The sequence below is a fragment of the Homo sapiens genome, chromosome 15 (genome assembly GCF_000001405.40).
Source record: "Homo sapiens chromosome 15, GRCh38.p14 Primary Assembly".
Lineage (NCBI taxonomy): Eukaryota > Metazoa > Chordata > Mammalia > Primates > Hominidae > Homo > Homo sapiens.
The window spans coordinates 41,904,788-41,931,422 of NC_000015.10; the positions used below are offsets into that span (position 1 = coordinate 41,904,788).

A 26,635-nucleotide genomic window follows, 5' to 3' on the forward strand; every position below is an offset into this window, starting at 1 on the left:
GGCCCTTCGGGTGCTCATCTTGTCCTGCAGTATTAACACTGTGCTGTCAGTCACGGTCCCTCCCCAGAGCGTGCCAGGCACGCACAGGCAGCCACACAGGTGGGTTGCAGGGCCTGTCCCAGCTCAGGGAAGGGCCTTCAGAATACACTCTCCTCTCACTGCTACAGCTAAGAGTCACTCTGACCAGCTGGCTCCATGAGAGAACAGGGAGAATAACAACCTAAAGCTGGCATCAGCGAGCTCTCTGCGTGACCCTGATATGTGCAAAGATCACAGTGTGGTCACTTCTAAGCGTATGTCCCCCCTCTGTCAAGGCCTATGTTACAGAGGATGTTAGACTTTAACAGCCTCAGGGATGGGACAGGCCCTAACCCACACACGCGCCCCTCAAAGCTTCCGGTGACAGCAAGCTAGCTTGCAGTATCAGGTGACACTAAGCATTCCTGACAGGCTCCAGGCTGCCTTGTTCCTTGGGGATTCTCCGAAGGAATGGGGTGATGTGACTGGGCCTCAGCCTACTTCCCAAGGAGGCCTCTTCCTGCAGCTTCTAGGGGTTGGCACGGGGAACCCCTGGTCTATAAGCCCTGTGGGAATCGAGGCTGCGTCAGGGCCTGAGAGCCTGCTGTGATATGGCCTTACACTAACTTACTAATTCACTTGGCTTGTGTGAATTGAGCACTCACCACGTCCTAGATGCTGGGGATATGGCAGTGAACAGGGCATGGGTCACTGACCTCATGGAGCCACAGACTTACGTGGGAGAGAGATACTAAATATCAGACATCAGATAATTCAATTACATGGAAGCACAACAGTGCTCATATTGTAACAAGAAACATGTGTCCTTACAGTGGGGTTGCTGTCAATTATTTTTACCCCCATTTGTTCATTTTTTCTGTTTTTTGACAGGGTCTCCTCTGTCGCCCAGGCTGGAGTGCAGTGGCGTGATCATGGCTCATAGCAGCCTCGACCTCCGGGCTTAAGCCATCCTCCCACCTCACCCTCTCAACTGGCTGGGAACACAGGCATGAGCCAACCACACCTGGCTAATTTTAAAATATTTTAATGGATATCGGGTCCCACTATGTTGCCCAGGTTGTTCTCCAACCCCTGGACTCAAGCAGTCCTCCCATTTCAGACTCCCAAAGTGCTGGGATTACAGGCGTAAGCCACTATGTCCAGCCTCATTTGTTCATTTTTTTGTGTTGATTTATTCCAGGGGCCTAGAACAGTGATAGCAGCAGGAGGCAGAAAAATGCTGAGGCAGATAGGGGTGGGTCTCCAGTGAAACCCTATCTTCAAGCCAAAGGCAGTTTAAAGCCTGCAGGCCAAGCTACAAGTCAAATCCATGGACTGGATTGAGAACCTGTCTTTCCATTTGGCTGCTTTTCTTTGATTGATCCTCACCCTTCACCTATTTTACATATACCTACCCTTCCCTAATTGTTTTTACACTGTTATGTCCACCTTTGACTGGTGCCTTTGTTTTAACCTTTTTTGCATACTCACAAATCAATCAGCATGCACTCCTCTATCCTGTGCCTATAAAAACCCCAGACTCAGCCACACTGGGGAGATGACCTGACTTCAGGAGAGACAACCCAATCTTCCCATCCCCTCTTCACTGAGAGTTGTTTTGTTGCTCAGTAAAATCCTCCACCCTCATCACTCTTCAATTGTCAGCATGACCTTATTCTTCTTGGATGCAGGACAAAAGCTTGGGACCCACCAAACGCAGGTACCCAGAAAGGCTGTAACACTGGCCCTCTGCCCTCACCATTGCAGGGTAGCCGTGCCACTCAACAGAAGCAGTGGTGGGGTCGAGCTGGACCGGAGCCATGGGCCAGAGTGGGGCAAGAGGGTGACTGAGCTGCTAACATGATGCACAACTAAAAGAGCTAATTAGCACACTGTAGCACCCCCTCTGGGGCTTTGGGGTTGCGGGCATCCCTGCCTGGGCACTGCCACGTTCCCCTTGGGGTGACACACCTGGTCTGGCTGCAGACCATGCACAGAGCCTGCTCCTATGTCAGCACTTGGAGTGGCTGGCTGGATCCTGCACTTGCTTGCTCACCCACCTTCCGTGGTGCTAAGGTACTGGGCATAGACCTGAGTCCAGGTGATTCTCAGCAAAGGCTTGGCCCTCCTTGTACCCTCCATCTCAGTGGGCCATGGCTGCTCCTGAGATCATGCTTTCCTTGTTGCCTTCCCCCAGCTCAGAGGACCCTGGGTGTCTTCTGACCTGGCCAGCCCAGGCTAGCTTTGTCATGAGTAGCTCTGGTCCCAGAGCCTGCTCCCTACATTATCGGGCTCACAGGGGACCAGCAGGAGAGGCCTGGCAAGGGAGGCCTCTGTGGAGCCCCAGGGCTCAAGAGCAGCGTCTCCCTGTGGCAAGGCACTGTAGCAACTTCAGGAAGCCAGCGAGGCACAGAGGCCCCAACTGGGCCACAGCTCAGGCTCTGTATTTCTTTATAACTTTCATTTAGGTCAAGAAACCAAGTTCCCTTCTGAAATATCTGAAGGGTACAAGGAAACAGCTGTCTTACTCCTTGGTCATGGGATACAGGGCATAACCAGGGGTGTGAATGGGGAAGTTGCCCAGGGAGACTGCTCCTGGAGGCCACAACAGCCCTCCAATACCACCTGGTGACCAGAAAAACCCAATTCAGCTTGTGAGCACAGGAATACCCATTTCACTGCTGGAAGAAAAGAGACATTTCTCTGTTGTGTGTGCGTGTATATATTTTTTTGAGACGGGGTCTTACACTGTTGTCCTGGCTGGAGTGCAGTGGTGCGATCTTGGCTCACTGCAACCTTCACCTCCAGGGCTCAAGTAATCCTCCTACCTCAGCCTCCCGGGTAGCTGGAACTACAGACATGCACCACCACACCTGGCCAATTTTTTTGGATTTTCTGCAGAGACGGGGTTTCACTACGTTGCACAGGCTGGTCTCTTGACTCCTAAGCTCAAGTGATCTGTCCGCCTTGGCCTCCCAAAGTGTAGGGATTACAGGTGTGAGCCACTGCGCCCAGGCTCTGTGTGTGTGTGTGTGTGTGTGTGTGTGTGTGTGTGTGTGTGTGTGTATATATTTATTTATTTTTTGAGATGGGGTCTGCCTGTGTCACCCAGGCTGGAGTACAGCAGTGCGATCTCAGTTCACTGCAACCTCTGCCTCCCAGGTTCAACAAATTCTCCTGCCTCAGCCTCCAAAGTAGCTGTGATTATAGCCACCACACCCGGCTAATTTTTGTATTTTTAGTAGAGACAGGGTTTTACCATGTTGGCCAGGCTGGTCTTGAACTCCTGACCTCAGGTGATCTGCCTGCATCCGCCTCCCAAAGTGCTGAGATTACAGGCATGAGCCATCACACCCGGCCCTCTGAATATATTTTAAAATAAATACAGCTAAAGCATATTGGGTCAGATCAAATATATTAGACTGATTCACTCTGAATCCAGGTGTAAAGAGCTGTCATCAAAACAGCAAGAAAAACCCACCTCTGAGTTAGTGTATAATTTATATAAAGCTTGCATTAAAAAACCCCTTAGGATCAAAGTTCCCCTCTCATCACCTGCTGGCCCTTGCCTCTTCTGCCCGACCTTCCCTTCTCCCTGTATCCTCTCTGCTTTCACCTTTCCCTCCTCCTGCCTCGGGCTGTACCTGCTTGCAGTTTTTAATCTATGCTGGCTTCAATGCTGTCACTCTGTGGCTCAAGGCAAAAGATGGTAACTGGTGGTCTCTGTGTGCAGCCCATATGCAGGTGGGCTTTGTTTGTCCTACATAGTATTTTTTTGAGCCTAAATGTGAAAATCAGGTGATCTGACATACAAATCCAGATTTCCAGCTTCTCTTGAGCCTTCCAGGTCTGTAGTCCCACAAGGCAGTGACCACTGGGCTAGACGGGGCTTCTGCATTGTCCAATCTGCCCTGCCATGAGACCCCTGACATGTTCTTAGCACACCTCGGGATGGTTTTCTTCCTTGCTGACACATGTTTCTTGGAACCTTCTTCTCTATCAAACGTGGGAAAACCAAAGGCAGCCAGAGAGGGTGACAGAGTTTCTCTTTCGCCTGGCCTGCTCCACTGTTTGCGTTACTGGGTGGTGGCTGCAGGCATCTGAGTTTGTGGCTCCTGCTTTACAGAGAGGACTGTGGCCCCCAGGGCAGAGGGGTCCTTGCAGCAGATAAGAAGACGGCCAGCCTGGCTCTGTGAGGACTGTCAGCCCAGAAGCCAGATGGGTGGCCTCGCTTGTGAGGACACGCTCGTCTAACAGCAGTGCAGAGAGGTAGATATGCCGGTCAGGGCAGGACGGCTGAATGCAGCACCCATTGTTGCCTGGCTGGAGCTGCCCAGCCACAACTCAAGAGAGGCCTTGACAGCAGGCCAATGGCTGCCCAGCACCAGCCTTTAAGCACAGTCCTCCCTGTGCCCACGCAGTCCAGCAGCGTCCGCAGAGCCCCACAGCCCCTGCTGGAGCCCTTGAGCCTGCAGCAGCAAGGCTGCCTGAGCACATAATCCCACGGCGTGAGGCAGGTCAGGGCAGGGCTGGAGGAGGCCGCCCAAGGTGACCCTGAAGGCCACTCCCAGCTGTGATTCCCTCACAGTTCTGGGATTCCAATGTCACCGCAACATCAACCAGCCTCCTTGGACACAGTCTAAGAGGGCTGCTCACCTGACTTTCTCATGGGAGCTTCATTTACCTTTGGCCATGTGTTTCCTTTGTTTACGCATTTTGGAAGACAGGCAATTTCTGCTTTATTCATAGCCTATTATCATGGATCACCATTAGGAAGATGCGTTGTCCTTGATCCTAAACCATGGGACTCTCATTTGTCTCCAGCAAACAGCCAGACAATGTGGCACTGCACCTCTGCCCTCTGCCCGTGACATTGTAGTGGGCTCCCAGTACCTGCATAGCCTTGACCTCAGGGAAGTCCCCTGCAGAAATCTGGTATTCTCGCTGTAGCTGAATGTAGATTTCCGGTAGCCTGCTGATAAGCTCTCTCTTCTTGTTTTCCTTTCCAAATACACTTGGCATCTCCTTCTTCAGGTAGCTGATGATGTAGGCATGCACCTGGAGGGGTATAGATCAGGCAGGGAAGTGTCATTTAGAATTGCATCAGAGAAGGAACAAACAAGATTGCATCTTAACTCCATCATAACACATAACAGGTACCCACACAAACCAGGTCCCAAGGACAGGAGGAGGGGAGGGTCCAGGGGGAGTGGAGCTGTCCAAGGGTGGCCGGAATGTGGCCAGACTTGGGGAAATTCTACGGCTACTGTTCTGTTGTGCCTCTGAGTGGCAATTCTGGTGTCTGTAGGGAGTGAGTGGTATGGGTGGGGCCTGGGTGGGAGAGCTCTTAGTTCTGGCAATTAACCAGAATACCCAGGAGAAAGTTTCACCAGGCTGGTGCCTGGGAGCAACAGGAAATGAAACTGGAGGCTGGCATCAATGGCTGATCAACATGGAAATCTGTACCCAGTGAACGATGAGATGAGAATCCCCATAACCCCCCTGTTATGGGAGGTTTAGACTCTGAGATCTCTACAGGTGGAATTAAAGTCATTCTGCACAAGACCAGCTGCCTGGGATCAGGCTGGATGGCAGAAGATCCCCCTGGGAGAGGAGCCCAGAAGCCCCAGAAACCTTGATCACTGGGGCTTGGGGTAGCCAGCAGGCTGTCATTGGAGGGGCGAGAATCTGGCCTCAACATTTCCACTCTTCTACTGATTTCCAACTTCAGGATATTAAGAAATGTTCACTACAAAAGTTCTCTTTGTATATATATATTTTTGAGATGGAATCTCGCTCTGTTGCCCAGGCTGGAGTGGAACAGCGTGATCTTGGCTCACTGCAACCTCCACCTCCTGGTTCAAGCGATTTTCCTGCTTCAGCCTCCCGAGTAGCTGGGATTACAGGTGTGCACCACCACGCCTGGCTAATTTTTGTATTTTTAGTAGAGACGGGGTTTCACCATGTTGGCCAGGCTGGTCTCGAACTCCTGACCTCAGGTGATCCACCCACCTTGGCCTCCCAAAGTGCTGGGATTACAGGCATGAACCACCATGCCCGGCTACTTTGTATATCTTGAACTTCAGAGTAATTGTGAAGTCAAGTAAGTAACTAAAATAAGAAAGGATGAAAAACAGAGTGGTGATTACAAAAAGAAAATGACTATGTAGCAACGGAAAATCCTATTAAAGAAAACAGACTTCTACTGTAATCTTGTAGAAGTTGAAATTAAATAAAGGGGGTAAGCAGATACATTCCATAGCTCAGCTGAGGGCCCGTGTGTGGACACATGCTGGACACAGCCAAAAACATTTTGTGAGGATTTGGATGCTAACCTAAGTACCTAATGCAAGGTCTGACATGCTGAGGTCAGACAATGTCAACTTCCCATCTGCACAAGGGTCGTTTAACAGAAGCATGCACTGTGCAGCCTGGCTACCGCTGAGAGGATGGTCTTGGAGAGATGACGCTAAACCTTTCTGTCACCAGCAAACTTGTTTATGTACTTATTTTTCAAATGAAGACAATTGAAATGATTTACAAGATTCTTAGAGATAACTTGAGAAACCCGAAGTTTGGGATCCGTTATTTAGAATCCTGGGCTTTAACCGCTGTGATGAGCAAGTGGTAAGATACCAACTCCTTTGCCTCCGACAGTGAATGCCTGGCTTGGTGTGGGTGGGCTGGGGAGGGCCAGGGCTGAGGGAGCACCCTTGGACTGGAGGAGCTGCCACGTTCCATCAGGGAGAACCAGCTGCTCACCAGCTGTCCTTGCATCATTTCCTTGGCCTCCACCTTCCTGGAAATTCTGGATTGGGCCTATGAGTATGTTCTCTATGTATACCTATGTATACCTCTCTCTTCTGTGCTCAGGCTCACCCCACCCTGGAGCCACCCCAAGGGAAGCAGGAGGCCCCCACAGCTGCTCAGTCTCCCAAACACAAGGGCTTCTTATTGAGACCACCCCCTTCCCTGCTCTGGGGCCTAGCCCTGGAGCAGCTGCCTAGGCCTCTGTAGGGCTTCCCAAGAGCCCTCACCACGTACTAGTAAGGTACCTCTGAGCCGCCAGGCCCCAGCTCAGGGAGGGCTTAGTTCCCGCTCATCTGGCTGACTCCTCACCCACTCCCTGCCGCCCACCCCCCGAGGTTGGGCACACTGTTCCTGAACACTCCCTGGTGCCCAGGGCCTGCTTTACCTGCACTGAACTCAGCTGATGTGCACCTGCCACACCCTTCACCCACTGAGTGTCACCTGATCCCTCGTCTCAGGCCTCATGGTGTTTGCTGGCTGATGACCGAGGTGGCCCCGACACTAGGCCTTCACAGCCCTGATAAACCTGGGGCTGATCTTGTGCCAGGTCTCAACTCCCTCCTCCTTCCGCCAGCTTGGTGCCACCTGAGTCATGACCCTTAGGTGACCTGCTCACACTGCAGCTGCTCTCGGTCCCAGCCTCCACTTCTAGGAAGTTCTGTTAGCGAGGTTTGTGGAAGTCTCCTGTTACGCTGCCTCTGCATGTCCACCCGCGTCCTGCCCTTCCTGGTGCGCCCTAAACAATAACCCAGGGCCAACTTCTGTGCACAGACCTGCTTTCAGAAGTTCATCAAGTTGGCCAGGCACGATGGCTCATGCCTGTAATCCCAGCACTTTGGGAGGCTGAGGCAGGTGGGTCACTTAAGGTCAGGAGTTTGAGACTAGCCTGGCCAATGTGGTGAAACCCTGTCTCTACTAAAAATACAAAAATTAGCTGGGTGTGGTGGTGTGCTCCTATAGTCTCAGCTACTCGGGAGGCTGAAGCAGGAGAATAGCTTGAACCCGGGAGGCAGAGGTCACAGTGAGCTGAGATTGCCCCACTGCACTCCAGCCTGGGTGACACAGCAAGAATCCATCTCAAAAAAAGAAAAAAAAATTCATCAAGTCACAAGGTAAATTATAATCCTTAGCATCATGAAATACTGAATCTGGAAGTGACCCCCCAATATCTACTTTAATTCCTGGTTCCAGGACATCCATGTGACTCACTCAAGGTCATACAGCTAGTTGGTAGATACAGAGCTGGCACTAGCATCCAAGTGCCTCGTTCCTGTCCCTAAAGAACTAATGACTCCCTGTGGGTATGCCCTGTGGGTATGCATTAATAATCTTACTGAAGTTGTTCAAAATCTGGAATTCAAAATGAACTGTGTCCCATAGAATGAGTCTGGAAAACTTTGATCTGAGGTTTGACTTCTGCTCGTGCCTAATTCACTGAGAGGCTTTGGAAGGGTCCTTTATTCTCCCTTTCCCCACACATCAAACACGGACACAATGATGGCACACAAACGTCGGGACACCACGTGGGAATGCGGGTGAAGACTGCGAGCTGCTGGCAGGATGGCATCCTGTCATTTTCTAAAGTCTTCTGGTAAACAGACGGGACAGCTTGAATGACTAAAATCCACAGTCAGCCTCCAGAGATCACTCCTGCAATTATGTGTCAAAGGTGTCTCCAAATACATGCCAGACCCAGGGCCAGACCTGGTGGTTGTCCCTGGGGAAGGAGGTGGAAACACTTGGGTCTTCTGACCTTTATAATGAGAGAAAACTAATTGGGAAGAGGAGGAGTACGAAAGAGAAGAGGGGGACTAGACCTGGAGCTTGAAGATGAGGCTCAGGCCCCGTGACCACTGCCTACCCACTGAGCAACTTGGGGCCAGGCATGGCATCTCCACCTCAGCGTGCTCATCCACAAATTAGAAATGACAACAACATTCATCTCACAGAGTTATTATGAGAATAAAAGAGGTCATGTATTTGAATGCACTCTGCTCACTAGAAAGAGGAGCAAATGTTAACTTGTTATCAACTAATGGCCAAAGACCAACAGCTGGAGGTACAGTAATGAGAGAGAGGGCTCCCGGCTGGTTACTCCTTACCAAATAATTAATAAACTCTCTCTATTTAAATAGTAATATAATGAATTTGGGTTCCAAGTGTTTAATTTACATTGACCCCTGGGGGCTTTTGAACATTCGTATCTTGTTCAAGTCATCCTTTGCCTTGTGTAAACTTGCAGAAGCCCTAAGGCATCTAATGGGGATGACTGGGGGAAATCAAATGGATCAAAATGACAAAATGACAATTTTTCTCTAGGCTAATAACTCAATGAGCAGAAAGGAAAGTCCTTCCTTTTAAATGTATATGAATGTATATGTAGTTCACACGTACACTCTGACACAGATCTCATTGTGTCCAATGATGTGTGTGTGTGTGTGTGCCTCCAAGACTGAGACACATGTACTAAAGAGTGATACTGGCCACATCTACTCTGGGCTTGGAGGGTAACTTCAGCGAGTGCTGGATGCTGGAAGCGACCAGTGCTGGAATGAAAAGCTTCATGGAATGTGAGGATCAGGCAGTAGTTTGGGGAAGGCGGGCTGGGAAGGCATGGTGACACACTGTGCCACGCTCATCTGCAAACTTAACGCAACCTGCTGGAGACCTGCGGCTGGAAGCCCAGCTCTGGAAACCTGCATAGAGTATTTAAAGCCAGGGTATCAGCACGTTTATAAAGTGGGTTTATGATAATATAAAAAATTCAGTTAATAAGCCTGAGACCCAAAAGATGAACCCATGGGGTAACAAGAGTGTGAGACTGTGAGAGGCAGAGAAGGGCAGCTGACTTGAGCAAGGGTTTGTTATTCTGCTCAGATCAAAACTGGCACCAATGGCACGTGTAATTCCGTGCAGCCTTAAAGGGGACCGGAGGGGGCTGCACACTTGTCTGAGGTCAACCTTCAAAGAGACAGGCTTCCATTTATGGGCTCAAGCACTGACACACACACATCCACAGTAGCTCAGGGCTGCTGACTGAGTTATTTTTAGAGCCCTGCCGAGGACTAGGCAATACCAGGATCTTCATGATCCATTATATCATGATTCTCACACGCTTTAGCCTGAATCCATTTGGTGCACAAAAAATGCCTCATTTCTTTACAGGAGAATTTTTTTTTTTTTTTTTTGAAATGGAGTCTTGCTTTGTCGCCCAGGCTGGAGTGCAGTGGCACGATCCTGGTTGACTGCAACCTCCAACTCTTGGGTTCAAGTGATTCTCCTGCCTCAGCCTCCTGAGTAGCCAGGATTACAGGCGCCCACCTCCACGCCCAGCTAATTTTTGTATTTTTTGTAATTTTTTTGTAATTTTTTTTGTAATTTTTGTATCCAGCACTTGCTGAAGTTACCCTCCAAGCCCAGAGTAGATGTGGCCAGTATCACTCTTTAGTACATGTGTCTCAGTCTTGGAGACACACACACACACACACACACACACATCATTGGACACAATGAGATCTGTGTCAGAGTGTAAGTGTGAACTACATATACATTCATATACATTTAAAAGGGAGGACTTTCCTTTCTGCTCATTGAGTTATTAGCCTAGAGAAAAACTGTCATTTTGTCATTTTGATGACATTTAGTAGAGACGGGGTTTCACCATGTTAGCCAGGCTGGTCTCGAACTCCTGACCTCAAGTGATCTGCCCGCCTTGGTTTCCTGAAGTGTTGGGATTACAGGTGTGAGCCACCGTGCCCAGCCTATAGACAAGAAAGCCAGGCTGTGCACATCACATGTGACTGAGAAGAGTCTACATTTGAAAGAATAAGCTAAATTCCACAGAACTACAGTGAACCTTGAAAATCACTGACCTCTCCTCTTCTTTCTCAGTTTTACTTGTTTCTTCCTCAAATGTTGCCTCATTTTTGTTGAGCAAAGATCTCCAAATGGGTGACAGCCTTTCCTATTCTTGGGCAATACGCTTCTAAAGGGTGGGGTCTGATAGTGAACTTGCATTGTTTGGGATTTGTATGAGTCTAATTTCTTTAATTTGGCTATTTTAATTATAGCTGAATAAAAGTAAATGACATGTTCCAAACCCTTTTTTGGGCTTTCCCAAAACAGCTTCCTTTAAAGAATCATGAAATGAACCCTGATTGGCATCTCAGAGTGTGAGCCGTCTTCCAAGAAGGATGTCTACTGAGATTGTAAGAAGTGATCTTTGAGGCTAACCAAAAACCCACTCTAAAGTTTCCCTGTTCCTTAAATACAGAGATGTGAAAAAAATATACAAACAGAAAAAGAAGGGAAATAAACTTCAAGAGCTCTTTGGGAAGAGTATCTATCTACTTTTCATATTATTAAAATGTCACCTTTATGACACTTCGAGTTTGATTAAAACGGCGCACTTGCTTTATCTGGATGGGCCATGAATCCTGGTTAATTATGGTGTTCTATAAATAAACATACTCCACAACCCAACTCAGACTTGACATCTCTTAGCTGACATCTGAAAACTTACCCTTTGCATGTTTTCAAAGTGTCAGCTTGATAAACCTAAACTTTGTAGGGTTTCTGTGGATGGAGACTTTTATGGAATAAATAGATTAACAGATCAGTGCAGAAAACAAGGACACAGGGAGGAGGTACTGTAGCTGCTGTTCACTCCCGATTTCAGGTGACTGCTTTCTGGACTGAGGTGTCACACTGACCGAGGTTTGAACGTATACTTTGCAGCTTACAGGCTGTGAAGCCTCGGGGACATAACTTCACCTTTCTGAGCTTCCGTTCCCTCAGGTGGGAAATGAGGACAAAAATGCCCAACTGTGTAGTTGTCAACAGGATCAAACAAAAAAACACACATAATGCAGACTACAGAGCTTTGGAACAGTTGGTGTGAAAAAGGAAAACTGGATCAAGAGAAAGGTTAATAAACCAAAATAAAAGCACTTTTGGAAAATATAAACACTCCAAAAAGAAAAACTCAGGTAAGCATCTGTCCATTTAAGCAGAAACAAGTTCAGCGGTGGAACATGAAACTGCAGGTGGCGTGAGGTCAATGTCATGAGTTAGTGGCCAAGGCCGCCGTGCTGAGTCCGGCTTCTCCTCCGGGTGAGCCCGCTTCCTGTCCCCGTTCCTCAGCATGGCACTGCCCACGAGCAACTGGCACTGAGAAGCTCCGGCTGCAAATACCCATACTTCAAACATTTTCCTTTGTGAAAAGGAACAAGCCAGATACTATTCTTAGGAAGAAAAAAACCACAAGCCTTTTTCCTGCAAGTAAGCTCAGCAAGTTTGACCGTCCCCCACTCCCTGCATCCACACAAGGGTTTTCATTATTCACAGTGTCAGAATACAGAGCAGCGTTCTGTGCCTCCAAACCCAGGCCGCGCTGGCCCGTTCAGAGGGCCCGAGGCTCAAGGATGGCAGGGAAGCTCTACGGGTTAAGGCGCTTGGCATTTCCAGCGAGCTTTCTGCTCCTTATTTATTTATTTATTTATTTATTTATTTATTTATTTATTTGAGACAGAGTCTCACTCTGTCGCCTAGGCTGGAGTGCAGTGGCACGATCTTGGCTCACTGCAACCTCCACCTCCTGGGTTCAAGCGATTCTCCTGCCTCAGCCTCCTGAGTAGCTGGGATTACAGGTGCCTGCCACCATGCCTGGCTAATTTTTGTATTTTTAGTAGAGACGGGGTTTCAATATGTTGGCCAGACTGGCCTTGAACTCCTGACTTTGTGATCCACCCGCCTCCGACTCCCAAAGTGCTGGGATTACAGGCGTAAGCCACCGTGCCCGGCCTCCTTATTTATTTATATGACTGAATACAGCAGCATCTCCAGTCACTGGGTCTTCATTTACCAATAACTGGTAAATGAAGAATGTCCATGAGCATTTAAAAATAGTTTTAAAAAATCTCAAAATCTGCAAAGGCTATGACATGAGTCACCAACTTTGGTTATAAACTAATGTGGGGTGTCACACACCTTGAAGGTTGTTCAGTTGTACCTGCTGGAGAAAGGAAACACCACAAACCAAGGGATCACCGAGTGGAAAAACAGCCTTCCTGCTACCAAGCATTAGGCCCAGGACAAGGGCGAGGGCAAAATCATTTCAGGAGAGCTGCACGTAAGTGGATTTACAAACTAGTTAGCACATCTGCCTTGCAGAACTGGAGCAAAAATGGCTTGTAGCTCTGGAAAGGAAGCCACTTGGACCAGGAAGAACAGATAAAGAAGGATGACTCACACAAGCACCACACCACTGCAGGTTAGCTGAGCCATATGGGAGGAATGCATGCACACGCACTGGGACACACGTGACAGAGAGGGACACAGGACATCGAGGTCCTGTGTGAGGGGCAGCAGCAGCCAGGACGGTGTTTGTTTTCACCCAGGCAAGAGGCTGCCCAGTGAGCACACTGGCACGAGGACAGGCTGCTAATGAGCAGCAAGAAGGAGGAAGAATTGTCCCCACCTTGGCTGTCCCCATCAGGGAAGCCCTCCCTGCCTCCTGGCCAGGCACGTAGTCACCCTTCCCAGAGCACTCATGGCAGCATCCATACCATGACTGGCACATAGCCAATCACCCAGGGAGCTTTACACACACACACACACACACACACACGCGCATGTTTACACACATGCATATTCACACAAGGCCATGTGTGCACGCACACCCCTATATCCGAGGCTCTGGGGCAGGGCCTGGGAATGTATGTTGCTTCTGATGATCAGCCAGGTTTGAACTTCACTAGGACTAGATAAAACTCTAAAGGCACTTCCAGCATTAGAGGACAATGATTTTATGAAACATGCACATATTTTTTAAAGAGCCATTTTTTTCTCTGTATTTTCTCTTGGAGGAGGGATATGCTTTTCTCTCTTTGGAGACATGAATTGACTCTGTCACTTGAGGGATGTCAGCAGGTCACCTCTCACTGCCCCATTGGGCACACACTCCTGGGGCTGCTGAAAGGCTCAGCTATGAGGCAGGCGAGCCAGGAGCCCAGGCATGCAGGCTAACAGCCCGCAGCCCAGAATGAGGATGCGGGGGTGACCCAAAACCAGCACACTCCAAGAGTAAGACTGAGCCATACTTCTTCCCAGGGCTCCCCTGGATCCAGGTGGTAACACTGGCCTTTGGTGCACGGGGACTAGCAGTGGCCTCTCAGCATCCTGTTGGTCTCACCAATGCCACCTCTTTCAGGTTTGGTTGGTTATATTCCTATCGTCCTGACATCCTAACAGCTACCATGTAGTGGGTGCACTGATTGATCCCCCTCCCTGTGCACCAGGCACTATGCCAAGTGCTCTGTCACACTGACCAACTGTCACCCCAAGTTCTTGTGAAGTGCTCTTATTAGCTCCATGGTACAGATTGGAGAACAGGGTTAGTCATCTGCCCAGGAGTGCAGAGCCAGGAGCTAGGGTGTCAGCAGGGCCACCTGACCTCGAGGCTGTATTCTTAACCTAGCGCATGTTCATTCCTTAAGCCTTCTGGAACGAAGCCTCCTCCCACCCATCTTGCCTCTGGAGAGGAGACAGCAGAGTCCCAGCCCCTGGCCTCTGTGCAAGGCATCTCCTGGCTTACCTTGGCCAGCCTCGCTCGCTTGATGAGGTCGTTGAGCTTGCGCACCGCTGCCTTCTGGGGGAGGCTCTGGATGTCTCTAAAGAGGTCCTGGGCCTCAGCCTCGAAGAGCCGGCGGTTGTCCGTGTTCTGCAGGGGCTGCGCCCAGAAGGAGCCAATGTAGACGCGCAGTACCTCGGGCGTGTTGATGACCTTGCCTAGGGACCACATGAGGGCCCCGTAGACCCGCATCAGCTGCTGCGTGTCCACTTGGTCGGCCTTGTTCAGCACGACACGGATCTTGTCGTCCTGGCCCCGGAAGGCCTTGATGGCCTCTGAGAATTCATCTGAGATGTCCAGCTTGTGAGCGTCAAAGAGCAGGATGATCCTGTCCACCCTCTCGGCAAACCACTGCAGGACCTGGCAGAAGTCATAGCCTGGGTGGAGAGAAGGACACGTCAGTGTAGCCACTGCTGCAGGAGACACGTTTAATGGGCGGCTCAGGAACAGTCTCGCTCTCCAGCAGCTGCCAGGGAGAGAGCCCTGTCTCCAACCTGGAGGCAGTGGAGGCCTGGTGACATGAAAATCACGGGCTGGATGAATCCGGGTGGGAAGGACCTGGGGAGCCCTTCCACAGGAGGAGGGAGGAAAGAGAATGGGGCTCATGGTCACTTTGGGAATTGCTGACTTTCATATCTGCGATTTCATTTAGTCCTCATGAGTGTTTTATTTCACCTAATACAGACCTTTTGCTTGATGGCAGAATTGATCAATGGTTTTATAAAAACACAGGCCATGGGTCAAAAGATCTTACTTCTGAAAAGTCTCACTTTTCTGAAAGCCCCAAATACAGAAGAAAGAGAACCAGAGGCCACCTGGCATCCCATGGGGGTATCCAGTAAGCATAACAGAAGAGGCATCGCCTTCAATTAACCCAAGTTTGTAGAGTGCTGAGGAGGTCAAAGGTTGGCCCAGCCAGTGTTGTGATCAATATTTATCTTTGGACTATTTATAACTCAGGTATATTGTGAATATTTTTTTAACATTACGTATCACAGCCATTGTGTAAAATGGTCTCTTGCCAATTTCTTTTTTTAAAATGGCCTGGCCCACAGCAAATTCTGTCCAGCCTATTCTGACCACCTCCACAAATCATGCAGCTGCATAAACACTCTTCAGCCCAAGGTCAAGGCTCTCAGGCCTTTCCCCAGGGAGGCAGATTCCCACGAAAAGCAAACAAGAGGAGGCCAAGCCCACAAAGTTGACTTTTAATCTCAGTCTGACTAGTTGCAGAAGCAGAGTCTCAATCCAGCCCAGCTAGTGCTGAGATGTCACCTGCCTGACCCCCATGCTAGGGGTCGTCTCCCCTCTTCTTTTAGATTTTGAAAACTTTCAAACATACATAAACATCTGTAAGTCATATAATGAATGCTGATGTACCTACCACATAATTTTAACAAATGTTGACACTTTGCTTTGTTTGCTATTTCAGATATGTTTTAAAACCAAGTATCGTTTCTTTAGATAACAAAATACCATACGGTGGTGAGAAGGAACTAGATCTTCACTTGTCAACACAGGTAAATCTCCAGAAAAGAACAAGAGTAAAAGCTTAGTTTCAAAAGGACATATACAGCATGATAACATTCATGTAAAATGTTAAAATACAAAATACTCAACCATCTGTGGATACAGACTATAGCACAAATACAAAAATGTCAACATCGATTGTGAGACCCTGGTTGGCTGTGGGGGTGGAGAAGGTGTGAATCCAAGGCAGAGGAAAAAGTATCTGAGGTGAATAATCTATTAGGTGAAAATAAAGAGGGTCTGCGGACTAAGGTTTCCATGCATTTGAAGAACAGGTGTTAGAGGAATAGCTGAACAAGCAAACTGGATTCAGGTCCATTTTTCATAAAGAAAACAAGACAGTTGGTAACGCTGAAGCCCCCTGTGCACCCCTCCCTGAGCCCTTCCCCCCACTAGCAGGCCGCTGTCCTGAGTGTGGTGTTTATGCCGCCACACGCGTGGATACTTCCAGTTCATGCTTTTCATTTCTCTGTTCTGTCTCACTGCGGCACTCCCTGACTCCTTGGGGATAAGGAAGACAAAGGCAGTTCTCGGAATGTGGGCCAGAGTTTATTTTCATTGCTGTCAGCAGCCAGTTTAGGTCAGAGGAATATCAAAGACCTACTGACAGGGTCACACATAGTCAAGGTTTCACTCTGAGTTCTGTCCCTGAAAGGCCAGAACAAACTGCCTCCTAGGGTAACACTAAGTGCTACTGCCATTTGAGACAGACGTGTGCACAGACAGCCCTAGCTCACAGGATTGTAGGTCCCCAGCGGATGAATGAACTGGCTGTTTGCTGGGTGCCGGGAAGATGCTTTGGAGCCACCCATAGATGGACCTGCATGGGGACTTGCTTTTCCAGGAGAGATGATTGATTCACCATGCTGACCTGACCACTCTCCCACGTGGTCTTCCTAGTGATCAGATGGGGTATCTGAAGGTTCAGAAACAGATCAAAGAAAACGCTGTGCACATGGAGTGAATGTGAGTTGCTTTTGCTGAATACCCTTCCTGTTGGGTCAGGAGGTATCCTTTATGGGTTGTGGAGGCTGAAGGTGTGGCAGAGAGTCCCTCGCCCCATTCCTTAGCAAGCTGGGGCATAAGCATGTGATCTAGAGTTAGACATTCACTTCCTTCCACCAGAGAGGAGTGCTGAACCTTGGGGAAATGACACGAAGACACAGTGAAAATAAGAATTTACTCATGGTGGTGGCGGCTTCCTAACTCTTTTCTAAGCCTAGTTCTCCAACTTTCCCATTAATCCTGTGACAAATTCTCCAAAACATTTTCTTTTCTGCTTAAATTAGTTAGAATCAGCTTCTTTGGTTTGCTATTGAAAGTGATGATAAGGCTGGGCACGGTGGCTAATGCCTGTAATTCCAGCACTCTGGGAGGCAGAGGCGGGAGGATTGTTTGAGGCTAGGAGTTTGAAACCACCTGGCAATATGGTGAGACCCTGTCTCTACAAAAAATAAAAACAAATTAACTGGGTGTGGTGGCGTATGCATGTGGGCTCAGCTACTTGGGAGGCTGAGGCAGGAAGATCACTTGAGGCCAGGAGTTTGAGGCAGTGAGCCATGGACCCACCACTATACTCCAGCCTGGGTGAGAGAGTGAGACCCTGTCACAAAAACAAAACAAAACAAAACAAACAAAACCACAATTGGTAAACAATCCTCCCCTCACCCCCATTTAAGATTTCGGAATACCTCTTACTGTCGGTTCCGAAAGAAACCTGCCACCCAAACTGAAACACAGCTGCTGCTGCTAGCTGCGCTCGCGCCAACCCTGCCGTGCTTGTGCCAACCCAGCCGTGCAGATGCAGTCTCTCTTCCTCCCAGGGCCGCCTGGGTTGAATGGTTACCTTTGATTGCAACACTTGTGTTTAAACTTTAACTTAAATTTGAGTTCCTAACAGTTAATTTAAGCATCTTTAAAAAAGATGCCATTTCAATGCTATAGTGAAATCAAAAGTTATTAGGAACAGAGCTGCCAGATTTAAGTTTACTATAAGTGACGCCAATACTCATGTCTGGAGGAACAGGTACATATCCATATTTTCTTGTGTTAAAGCAACAATGAGAGCTTAATATAGTTCGAGAAGTACAGGTAGGCAGAGCTGTGTTTGTTCTGTCCCTGAGCAGGTGTAAGAGGACGGTCTGTCACACATCAGGCAACACAATCAAAGGAGTAGAAATCACCGTGTCCAAAAGAGAGCAAGGAATGATCAAAGCTGGGAGAGGTTGGTCTGCTTACCACCTCCCCCTACAAAGTTAGGATTATTTTGCTACTTTAAGCATTTTAAGTGTACTGCACAGTGGCATTAAATAAGTCACATTGTCGTACAACCACCACCACCATCCAACTGAAACTCTGAACCCATTAAGCACTAATTCTCCCCTCCTCTCTCTAGCCCCTGGCGACCACCATTCTACTTTTTGTCTCTATGAATTTGACTACTCTAGGTACTTCAGAGAAGTGTCCTTTTGTGCCCGGCTTCTTTCACTCAGCACAACGTCCTCAAGGTCCATCTGTGGTGTAGCATGTGTCAGAGTCTCTCCCTCCTCCTAAGGCTGAATAGGTCGGCTTGATTCTTGTGTCATGAAGGACTCAGGCGGCAAATACCTAGCTACCCAAAAATCCCAGCGGATCTAACTCCCAACATGTCATTTAGTCTGCCTGCTAAAGGAAAACGGTGATTCAGAAGGACCTAGAGACCACTGATCCTCAAAGCCTGTTCCTGTGTTGGAATGAAATAAGGGGCTTGCTAAAGTTTAGACTCCTAGGCCCCTCCCCAGAGCCACTGAATCAGAATCCCTGGGGCTGAGCCTGGGGATCTGCACTTGGAAGCTTCCCAGGTGATTGCAATGCATGGTGCAGTTTGAGGATCACTGTCTAGACTGAATACCAGGGTGGGGAAATTGTACAGATAGGTTTATGTTCCTGTTGGTTAGCAAGCAACAAAGCAAATCAAACACATTTAAAGTAGTATTAGTTCCTTTTATTCCAAAAAGTTACCAATAGATGTTTAGGTGGTGCATCACAGGTCGAGGAAACAGAACTGAAACATGCTTATCTGAAGACAGATTTTAAAACTCACCCAAGCTCCCTGCTTTTGCCCATGCTGGGCTATGGCCCTGGTGAACCCTTCCTCTATGGTCTAGACTGAGCCTAGAAAGCCAGCCCAAACCCTAGTCATTCTTCAAAATATCTGGGCCAACTTTGATTAAGTTAGACATTACTTAACGTTAAGCTCCAGTTTTTTTCACCTGTAAGATCGGGTTGTTGAGTGATTACCTGAGAAAATGCTTTTATCCATAAGGCATTGAGACTTTGTTAACTTTCAGCAAATTTGAGCTGTGGTTACTCTGGTTTCCTCAACTGCTCCCCATCCTGAGTTCCCTTGCCTGTGCTGCCTATGGCACCACTTCACACAGGGTATTAAAATCAGAGGGATGGGCTGGTCTCTTTCATTAGATTATATATTCTCTAACCACAGGAACTGTGTCTTCATCATGGTCACACAAGATAGTGGCGGACAATGTGGGCCTTGGACCCAGACTGCCTGGGACCTTCCTGGCTCCATCACTTACTAATTCTGCGACCTTGGGCAAATTACTTCACCTCTCTGTGCCTCGTTTCCTCATCTGTAATAACAGTGTCTTGGGGCTACCCTAGGGCTGATAATAGTATCCACAGGCCTCAGGAGCTGCAGAGTTAATATACGTGAAGCATTTAGAATCACCTTGGCACCTAGAAAGCTGTCCAAAATGCTATCTACTGGTTATTTAAAAAATCTTTGTATCCAGTGCCTGGCATACAGGGGGGATGCAAGAAATATTTGTGGGAGAAGTGACAGAAAGCAGGCAGTGGCTGCCTATGACGGGAGCCCGGCTGGTGAGTGGAACAGACAAACAGGGAGCGTCTCAGGGTGATGGAAAGTTTCTATATCTTGATGATGGCCATAGTCACACGAGTATGCAAATATGTCAAATTCACCAAACTGTACAATTAGATAGAATAGATGCATTTTTCACGCCTGTAATCCCAGCATTTTGGGAGGTCAAGGCAGGTGGATCGCCTGAGGTCAGGAGTTCGAGACCAGCCTGGCCAACTTCGCGAAACCCTGTCTCTACTAAAAATACAAAAATTAGCCAGGCTAATTTTTGGCAGATACCTGTAATCCCAGCTACTTGGGAGGCTGAGGCAGGAGAATCGCTTCAACCCAAGAGGCGGAGGCTGCAGTGAGCCGAGACTGTGCCGCTGTACTCCAGCCTGGGTGACAGCGAGGGACTGTATCTCAAAAAAAAAAAAAAAGGTGCATTTAATCATATGTTATACTTCAACAAAATTGACTTAAAAAGCAAAAGTAAATAGGAAGAAAAGAAAGAAAAATCCCAAGGCTGCTAAACTTGTTTAAAGATACACATCTCCACAAACTGCTGAATGGACCAGGAAGTTGAAATCTGTTCATCAAGGGGCTACATACCTAAGCTGGCTGTATATGGAGGTGAACGAAGCTATAGTAGAAGCCTTAAGCTTTAGAAGAAATCGGCCTTAAGAACCACTCGAAGCGGCTAACCTGCATCCTGCTTTCTGGCCAAGGTGATGAAAACCTCTCATGGTGACAGAACAGGAGTGAGAATGCTCCAAGTTTGTGAGAACTGGTTTCAGCTAGGCACAATGCAACGTGGCCTGGGGCATGGAACGATCTGGACCTATGTGTGTTTGCATGTACTAGTGTGTGTTGTGGGTGCAGGACTCAACATAATCATAGAATCATCCCACGGTGCTCAGTATATTTTCAACACTTATTCATGCAATTAATAGAAATTTCAATCCTTTAAGACCTTCCAGTGAAACTTGTATTAGTCTGGAACAAAAAAGAGATGTAATCAGTCCAGTTGTTTCAAAATATAGTTTCTTTCTTTGCCAAAGGACCCAAAAGCTACACAGCTTGGGGAACTAGGAGAAAGAATTTGTCCTGCGGAAGATCCCAGATTGGCATTCCTGGCTCCATGTTCTGGGAACAAAAGGAGGGGGCAGGAAGGAAGGAGCCCCTTCTACCCAATCAAGGGCTTCCCGTCACAGCCCCTGTGGAAACTGTGGTCCTCCATCCTGGCCAGAGAAAGAGCCACCAGGGAATGGCATAAGGGGTTAGAACAGTTGCTCCCTGGCTCAGGTAAATATAGCACGGGGGTCCCTGAGGAAGCAAATTTGGCAGTCTATTTTTAATAGAACAAGAGAAAAATAATGCTTACATTTCTTTTCAGAGCCAAGTTTCTAATTATGAGTTTTAAACAAGATGTGTGTCTATGGCCAGGTGCGGTGGCTCAGACCTGTAATCCCAGCACTTTGGGAGGCCAAGGCAAGAGGATTACTTGAGCTCAGGAGTTTGAGACCAGCCTGGGTGAGTGAGGCCCTGTCTCTACTTAAATAAAAAAAACAAAGAAAGATGTGTGTTAATGAAAGGATGCAAGGCAATGGAAGGCAGGCAGAAATGCAGCCGAGCTCCCCCTGCCATGTCCCTCCTCCCACTCCTGGGGTGGGCAGGGCCACTTGCCCGTGGTGGTGACGGAACACTGCCTAAAACTGCTCAAACCTCTCCTCTTTTCGAGGCCCTGCCCGCCCCTCCCATAGTTAGTAGCTCCAGTTCCATGTGGGCATTCCTACCACTGCCCCCAGCACTTTCTGTGTGGCTCTGTCTGTGCAACCCCAGGCTCTCCTGGCTGCATGTTCACCTTTGTGTCCCTCCAGCACCCGTGCAGTGAGCATCCAGCACGAGGCAGGCACCAAGAGTTCCTTCTTGTCCCCAGGTTCCAACCTCACTAATCTAGCCCTCAGACGATCCCCATCCCTTCTTAGAACTCAAAGATTATCTCCAAAACTGTGAGTGTCCCTGATTATGTCTAGAATAAATGTTTCCAGAACAAATTCTCCATGACTAGCCTCTGCTGCAATTCTCAACCTTTGCTCAGTCTCTTACTAAGCCCCACCCTCTCCACTGCACAAACCACACTGGGCTCTGCTGTTCCGCAGCAGCATCCTGTACTTCCCTGTCTCCACACCCTTGCTCAGGCTTTTCTTTCTGTCTGGAATGCCCTTTCCTCTTCTCCAACTACAGCCACTCATCCCTCTGGGGAACTTTCCTCCAGGTGGCCTTCCCCCACCCAGTGGAACAGAACCGCCTTTCCTGTTTCCTCCTGATGGGGTCTGTAGCAGCCTGAGAGCAGGGCCAAGTCTTCACTGTGTCTGTAACCCAAAGGCCCACTGCAGATGCCTTACACTATCAAATCAGGTTCCCGGGGATAGAGTCTTATAGCTTTAATGAATTTCCTTCATAGCACTTATACTCTGAAATGGTATATACATTTGCTGACTATAAGACAGAAATTCTGAGGGCAGAGACTCCACTCCTTATTCTATTCACCACTATACACCCAGGAATTACTACTGAGCACAGTAGGTGTTCAATACATTTGGTTTATTCCTCCAAAAACTAAAAATGGAACTATCATATCATCCAGCAATCCCACTTTGGGTATTTGTCCAAAAGAACTGAAATCAGGACTTTGAAGAGATATCTGCACACCCATGTTCACTGCAGCATTATTGGCATCATTTCTTTATCCATTCATTCATTGATGGACGCTTTATGGCAACAGCCAAGATGTAGAAATAAGAAAAGCATCCATCAGTGAATGAACGGATAGAGAAAATGTGGTGTACACATCCAATGGAATACTATTCAGCCTTAAAAAAAATTCTGCAATATGCAACAACATGGATGGCCCTTGAGGAAAAAAACATGCTAAGTGAAATAAGCCCATCACAGAAGGACAAACATACATAATTCTACTTGTATAAGATATGTAAAATAGTCAAACACACAAAATCAGAGAGGGGAACCATGACTGCCAGAGGCTGTGGGGAGAAGGAAATGGGGCTTTGCTAATCAACCAGCATAAAATTTCAGTTAGGCAAGATGAATAAGTTCTAGAGATTTGCGGAACCACACTGTGCCTATAGCCACATTGTGCTTGTAATGGATACTTAAAAATGCGTAAAGAGGGTAGATTTCGTTAAGTGTTCTTATCACAGTAAAATACAGTAAAATTGGTTTAATCAAGTGAATTCACTTGAACAAGAAATGTAACTGATTTTTAGCAATCTGGCAAGTTTAGTTGCTTAAATAGTGGTATGCGTTTCTAAAAAAGGGTTGTTACTAACTAGGGGAAGTGTAAATCATCTCAAAGTAAACATCAACTATCTGGGATCGCTCAGGTATTATAAATACACTTCGAAAAGAGTCCCTTTAGTTAATAATAACAGCCACTTCAGGGCAAGGAGTCTCTGCATTGTTTCCTGGCTGAGTTTACTTCGCAACTAGAAAAGTCTGCTTCTGAAAATGTCTTCTGAAAATGTCATTGTGGCAGAGAGCAAAATGATAGCTATAAATCAACAACTGCAGCAAATATTTACTTAGCTCTTACTACATTCCTGCACTGCCCTGTGAGCTCCATATCACTACAATCTTGTAATCCTTGCAACAATCCCATGAAGTAGGTACTTTTATTACCCCCATTTTACAGGGGAGGAAAAAAGACTCAGAGAGGTTAAGTATCCGACCCAAGGCACACAGCTGTTTCTCAGGGGAGCCCGGATTCAAACCCAGGGACTCGGATCCTAGAGCCTGTGCTTTCACCCGCTGCGCTGCACCATATGTGTACCAGGATGGTAGAATCAGAGGTGAGTGTACTTTATTTTCTCCTTTTTGATTTGTGGTTTCCTAAGTGTTCTACAATGAATATATATTATTTTTATATCAAGAAAACAAATATGCATATTGTAAAAATTATTGGCCCACTTGCATTATTATTGAGGAGGTTGTTCTTTTTCTTCTACAATGGTGCTTCTGGTGAAGGTCTGGATTCCAGCATTTCCCTGCCAGAGGCTATGGTGGGTGTGCCGAGCACCACCCTGAGGGGGAAGCAGTATCTCAGCAACTACACCCCCGAGGAAGAGGCAGTCCCCAATCAGCGGGAGCAATGGGACCTGCTGATGACAAAATAAGCCACAGAATGAATGGCTCTGCTCCACTGGCCTTCTCTCCTCCCTGCCCCCTTTTCCCCAGCTGACCAGATGCAGGGCAGTGGCAGGGAGGGGCTGATACCAAACCCGGTCTGGGAGACTGCCCGGAGGGAACACAGGTTCCCAAGCTCCTTTTGGAGAGGCTGGATGTGAGTTCACCTCGAACCTTTCAGCTGGTAATGGCCACCTCTTGGAGAATGTAACTGGTTACCAGAAAACCCCAGAGGTTGTCTCCCAGTACCTAGCCTAAAGTGGGTGTGGCCACAGAACCTACCAAAATTTAAATAAAAGCAAGAACTAGGCGTGTCCAGGGATGGCGTTGTGCTGTTTATCCGCTCTCTGCTCTTCCCACTCCTCCTTCCTTTGGGATTTTGTCCAAGACTCTGTAAATTAATTTTTCTGTGCCTGTTTCCTCATAAAATAAACAAGCTAACCTCACAGCCTGTCCCTCCTTCCTCTGGGGGATATGTGACAATAACAGATGGGTGAGCCACATGTCCCTGAAGGCCCCTCCAGGGCAAGGGCGGGAGAGCCCCACATCACAGGTTCGTGCCACGCCACAGACATGGGAACAGAGGAAGGTTCCACGCCAGTACTCGGCCCACTGAACGCTGCTGCTTCTGGGCATGTGACCAAGTGAAAGGGAAAATTGGGTTTCGCATCTCACTTTCCATCTCAGATTAAATACCAGATGAAGAAGCAGGCCCATTTAAAGAAGGCTGAGCCCTGGAGAAAGACAGCAACATGGTATTATCAGTCATTTTAGGCTCTTTGCTGGAGAGGGAAGTTGGTAAAAAAACCTACCAAGAAAATCCTGTAAGTCCTGGAGCCTGGCTTAACAATTTCATTCTGCTGGGCCTCAGTTTCTATACCTGTGAGTCAGATGATCAAAAAGGATTCTTTCTAGATCTTAAATTTTAGCTATATAGGGTGGTTCCAAACAGTAAGCTTCTTTGAAATAAAAAGCCAGATTCCCAGGAAAATCGATTTAGCTCAGCGTCTGTATAGTACAGACACGAACTAGTTACAGTGCCAGCCTAAGATGACCCTTCAGATGGCTACAGTAGACCCTTCAGATGGCTACAGGAATACTGAATGAACAACTCTAAATGACACAATTATCAAACAGTAAGTTTCATTTTATTACATCCCTTCTACTGGATTCATGTGCTATATAGCATTTGGGCCAATTTGAAGGTCCTTGAATGTTTCTATAGGTGTAATTAGTTGCCCCAAAGTTTAACTTATTGTCATCCAATTCCAAACAACTCTATACTGAAAGAAACTATCTGAGGAAGGGTTGTGGAATGTATGACTTCCAAGGATGCTTAAGAAGTCACCCCATCTAACCTTCTGATATTATTATATATTAGGATGAACAGATCCAGGAATCCCGTGTCACGCACATGGAAATTGTCCATTCCTCATTTTTCAAGTGGGCTTTGTGTATAAGTCAGGCTAGAAAGTCTCATACAATATGTCTATAAATCAGACGGAGTTGGCGTGGCAAACATTACTTGCACTGAATTTTCTTGAGGCAAAATGCCAACAGACTCCACCCAAATGTGATGAGGTCAAACATTTATAAGCAAGGCTTTGACCGTGACAATGCATCTTGTCATTCTGTGGTTCAGAAGGGCAAAGGTAATGTTTCTTCAGGCTACAGTTTTCTAAAGAGAAATGTTAAACCAACGGGATGACAACTGGGGTCATAAAGGGCTAGAAAGCAACTTCTGACCTGAAGACCCCACCCCTCGCCCTGCCCTGTTCCTCTTTTCAAACATCTTGGCATTGCACAAGTGTCCTGCATGCCTGTGGACAACAGCTGGCACTGCAGACCAGCTCTAGCAATTAAGTTATCAGCTAACCAGCTCCTCAAGCCAAACTATTACTCAGAGACAGTTATTTCTGGGCTTATGTCACAGATGGAAAGAAAGACCCAGTCAGTGGGAACCATGGGAATCCACACGGGGCTCCTTATAAAAAAATGACTCACTGATTTTGCTAAAAGTAGCCCATGTAGTTACCAACAGTATTTCAAAACAGTCAAATACCTCCAGAAAAGGAAATACTTTAAAAAGGTATACATGAAAAGATGCTCAACCACACTAACCATGAGGAATGAAAATTAGAATCATAATGAGATGGTGGGCATGTAAACAGGCATGCCTTCTACAGTGGCATTTTTGGCACCAGCTAACATAATAAAAAGACCGCCGCTCCTTTTGATTCCAAAATTCCACCTCTAGGAATGCATCTTAGAGTTACATCTGCACATTTTTTGGATTAGTCTCTATTTCATTTATTTTTTTACATTGATAAAGAAAAATTGTATATATTTATCATGTCCAACATGTTGTTTTGAAATATGTATACACTGAGGCTGGGTGCAGTGGCTCATGCCTGCAATCCCACCACTTTGGGAGGCTGAGGCAGGTGAATCACTTGAGCCTAGGAGTTTGAGACCAGCCTGGGCAACAAGGTGAAACCCCATCTCTACAAAAAATGCAAAACATTAGCTGGGCATGGTGGTGCATGCCTACAGTCCCAGCTACTCAGGAGGCTGAGGTGGCA

At 47.5% G+C, this 26,635-nt stretch overlaps 1 protein-coding gene and 1 long non-coding RNA gene across 3 annotated transcripts in view, besides 9 other annotated features; one reads left to right on the forward strand and one right to left on the reverse strand.

The window, feature by feature from the left end:
- The window catches only part of EHD4 (EH domain containing 4), a 76,625-nt gene that overhangs the window by 8,855 nt on the left and 41,135 nt on the right, over positions 1 to 26,635 (reverse strand). For both annotated transcript variants that reach the window (NM_139265.4, XM_047432408.1), the window contains exons 4-5: positions 14,423 to 14,835; positions 4,912 to 5,076 (exon numbers count right to left, since the gene is read on the reverse strand). In NM_139265.4, coding sequence (NP_644670.1) covers positions 4,912 to 5,076; positions 14,423 to 14,835 — 578 coding nt within the window. The remainder of the gene's footprint in view (positions 1 to 4,911; positions 5,077 to 14,422; positions 14,836 to 26,635) is intronic.
- Positions 167 to 236: an enhancer, noted in NCBI's record as "active region_9288". NCBI's record gives its function as "activates an Ori minimal core promoter by ATAC-STARR-seq in GM12878 lymphoblastoid cells {active_cell/tissue: GM12878}" and the evidence as "EXISTENCE:reporter gene assay evidence [ECO:0000049][PMID:35858748]".
- Positions 12,924 to 13,218: an enhancer, noted in NCBI's record as "tiled region #4481; K562 Activating DNase matched - State 5:Enh". NCBI's record gives its function as "activates a minimal TATA promoter and a strong SV40 promoter by Sharpr-MPRA in K562 cells {active_cell/tissue: K562}" and the evidence as "EXISTENCE:reporter gene assay evidence [ECO:0000049][PMID:27701403]".
- Positions 14,622 to 15,121: an enhancer, noted in NCBI's record as "H3K4me1 hESC enhancer chr15:42211607-42212106 (GRCh37/hg19 assembly coordinates)". NCBI's record gives its function as "activates a minimal SCP1, AML or CMV promoter by ChIP-STARR-seq in primed H9 embryonic stem cells {active_cell/tissue: H9 hESC(primed)}" and the evidence as "EXISTENCE:reporter gene assay evidence [ECO:0000049][PMID:30033119]".
- On the forward strand, positions 16,630 to 24,499 carry EHD4-AS1 (EHD4 antisense RNA 1). Its single transcript, NR_120332.1, has 4 exons — positions 16,630 to 16,954; positions 21,294 to 21,380; positions 23,563 to 23,719; positions 23,895 to 24,499. It is a non-coding gene; the product is annotated as an EHD4 antisense RNA 1 (long non-coding RNA).
- Positions 21,104 to 21,621: an enhancer, noted in NCBI's record as "H3K27ac-H3K4me1 hESC enhancer chr15:42218089-42218606 (GRCh37/hg19 assembly coordinates)". NCBI's record gives its function as "activates a minimal SCP1, AML or CMV promoter by ChIP-STARR-seq in primed H9 embryonic stem cells {active_cell/tissue: H9 hESC(primed)}" and the evidence as "EXISTENCE:reporter gene assay evidence [ECO:0000049][PMID:30033119]".
- Positions 23,022 to 23,231: an enhancer, noted in NCBI's record as "active region_9289". NCBI's record gives its function as "activates an Ori minimal core promoter by ATAC-STARR-seq in GM12878 lymphoblastoid cells {active_cell/tissue: GM12878}" and the evidence as "EXISTENCE:reporter gene assay evidence [ECO:0000049][PMID:35858748]".
- Positions 24,127 to 24,630: an enhancer, noted in NCBI's record as "H3K27ac-H3K4me1 hESC enhancer chr15:42221112-42221615 (GRCh37/hg19 assembly coordinates)". NCBI's record gives its function as "activates a minimal SCP1, AML or CMV promoter by ChIP-STARR-seq in primed H9 embryonic stem cells {active_cell/tissue: H9 hESC(primed)}" and the evidence as "EXISTENCE:reporter gene assay evidence [ECO:0000049][PMID:30033119]".
- Positions 24,127 to 24,672: a biological region, named in NCBI's record as "H3K27ac-H3K4me1 hESC enhancer GRCh37_chr15:42221112-42221615".
- Positions 24,593 to 24,672: an enhancer, noted in NCBI's record as "active region_9290". NCBI's record gives its function as "activates an Ori minimal core promoter by ATAC-STARR-seq in GM12878 lymphoblastoid cells {active_cell/tissue: GM12878}" and the evidence as "EXISTENCE:reporter gene assay evidence [ECO:0000049][PMID:35858748]".
- Positions 24,693 to 24,822: an enhancer, noted in NCBI's record as "active region_9291". NCBI's record gives its function as "activates an Ori minimal core promoter by ATAC-STARR-seq in GM12878 lymphoblastoid cells {active_cell/tissue: GM12878}" and the evidence as "EXISTENCE:reporter gene assay evidence [ECO:0000049][PMID:35858748]".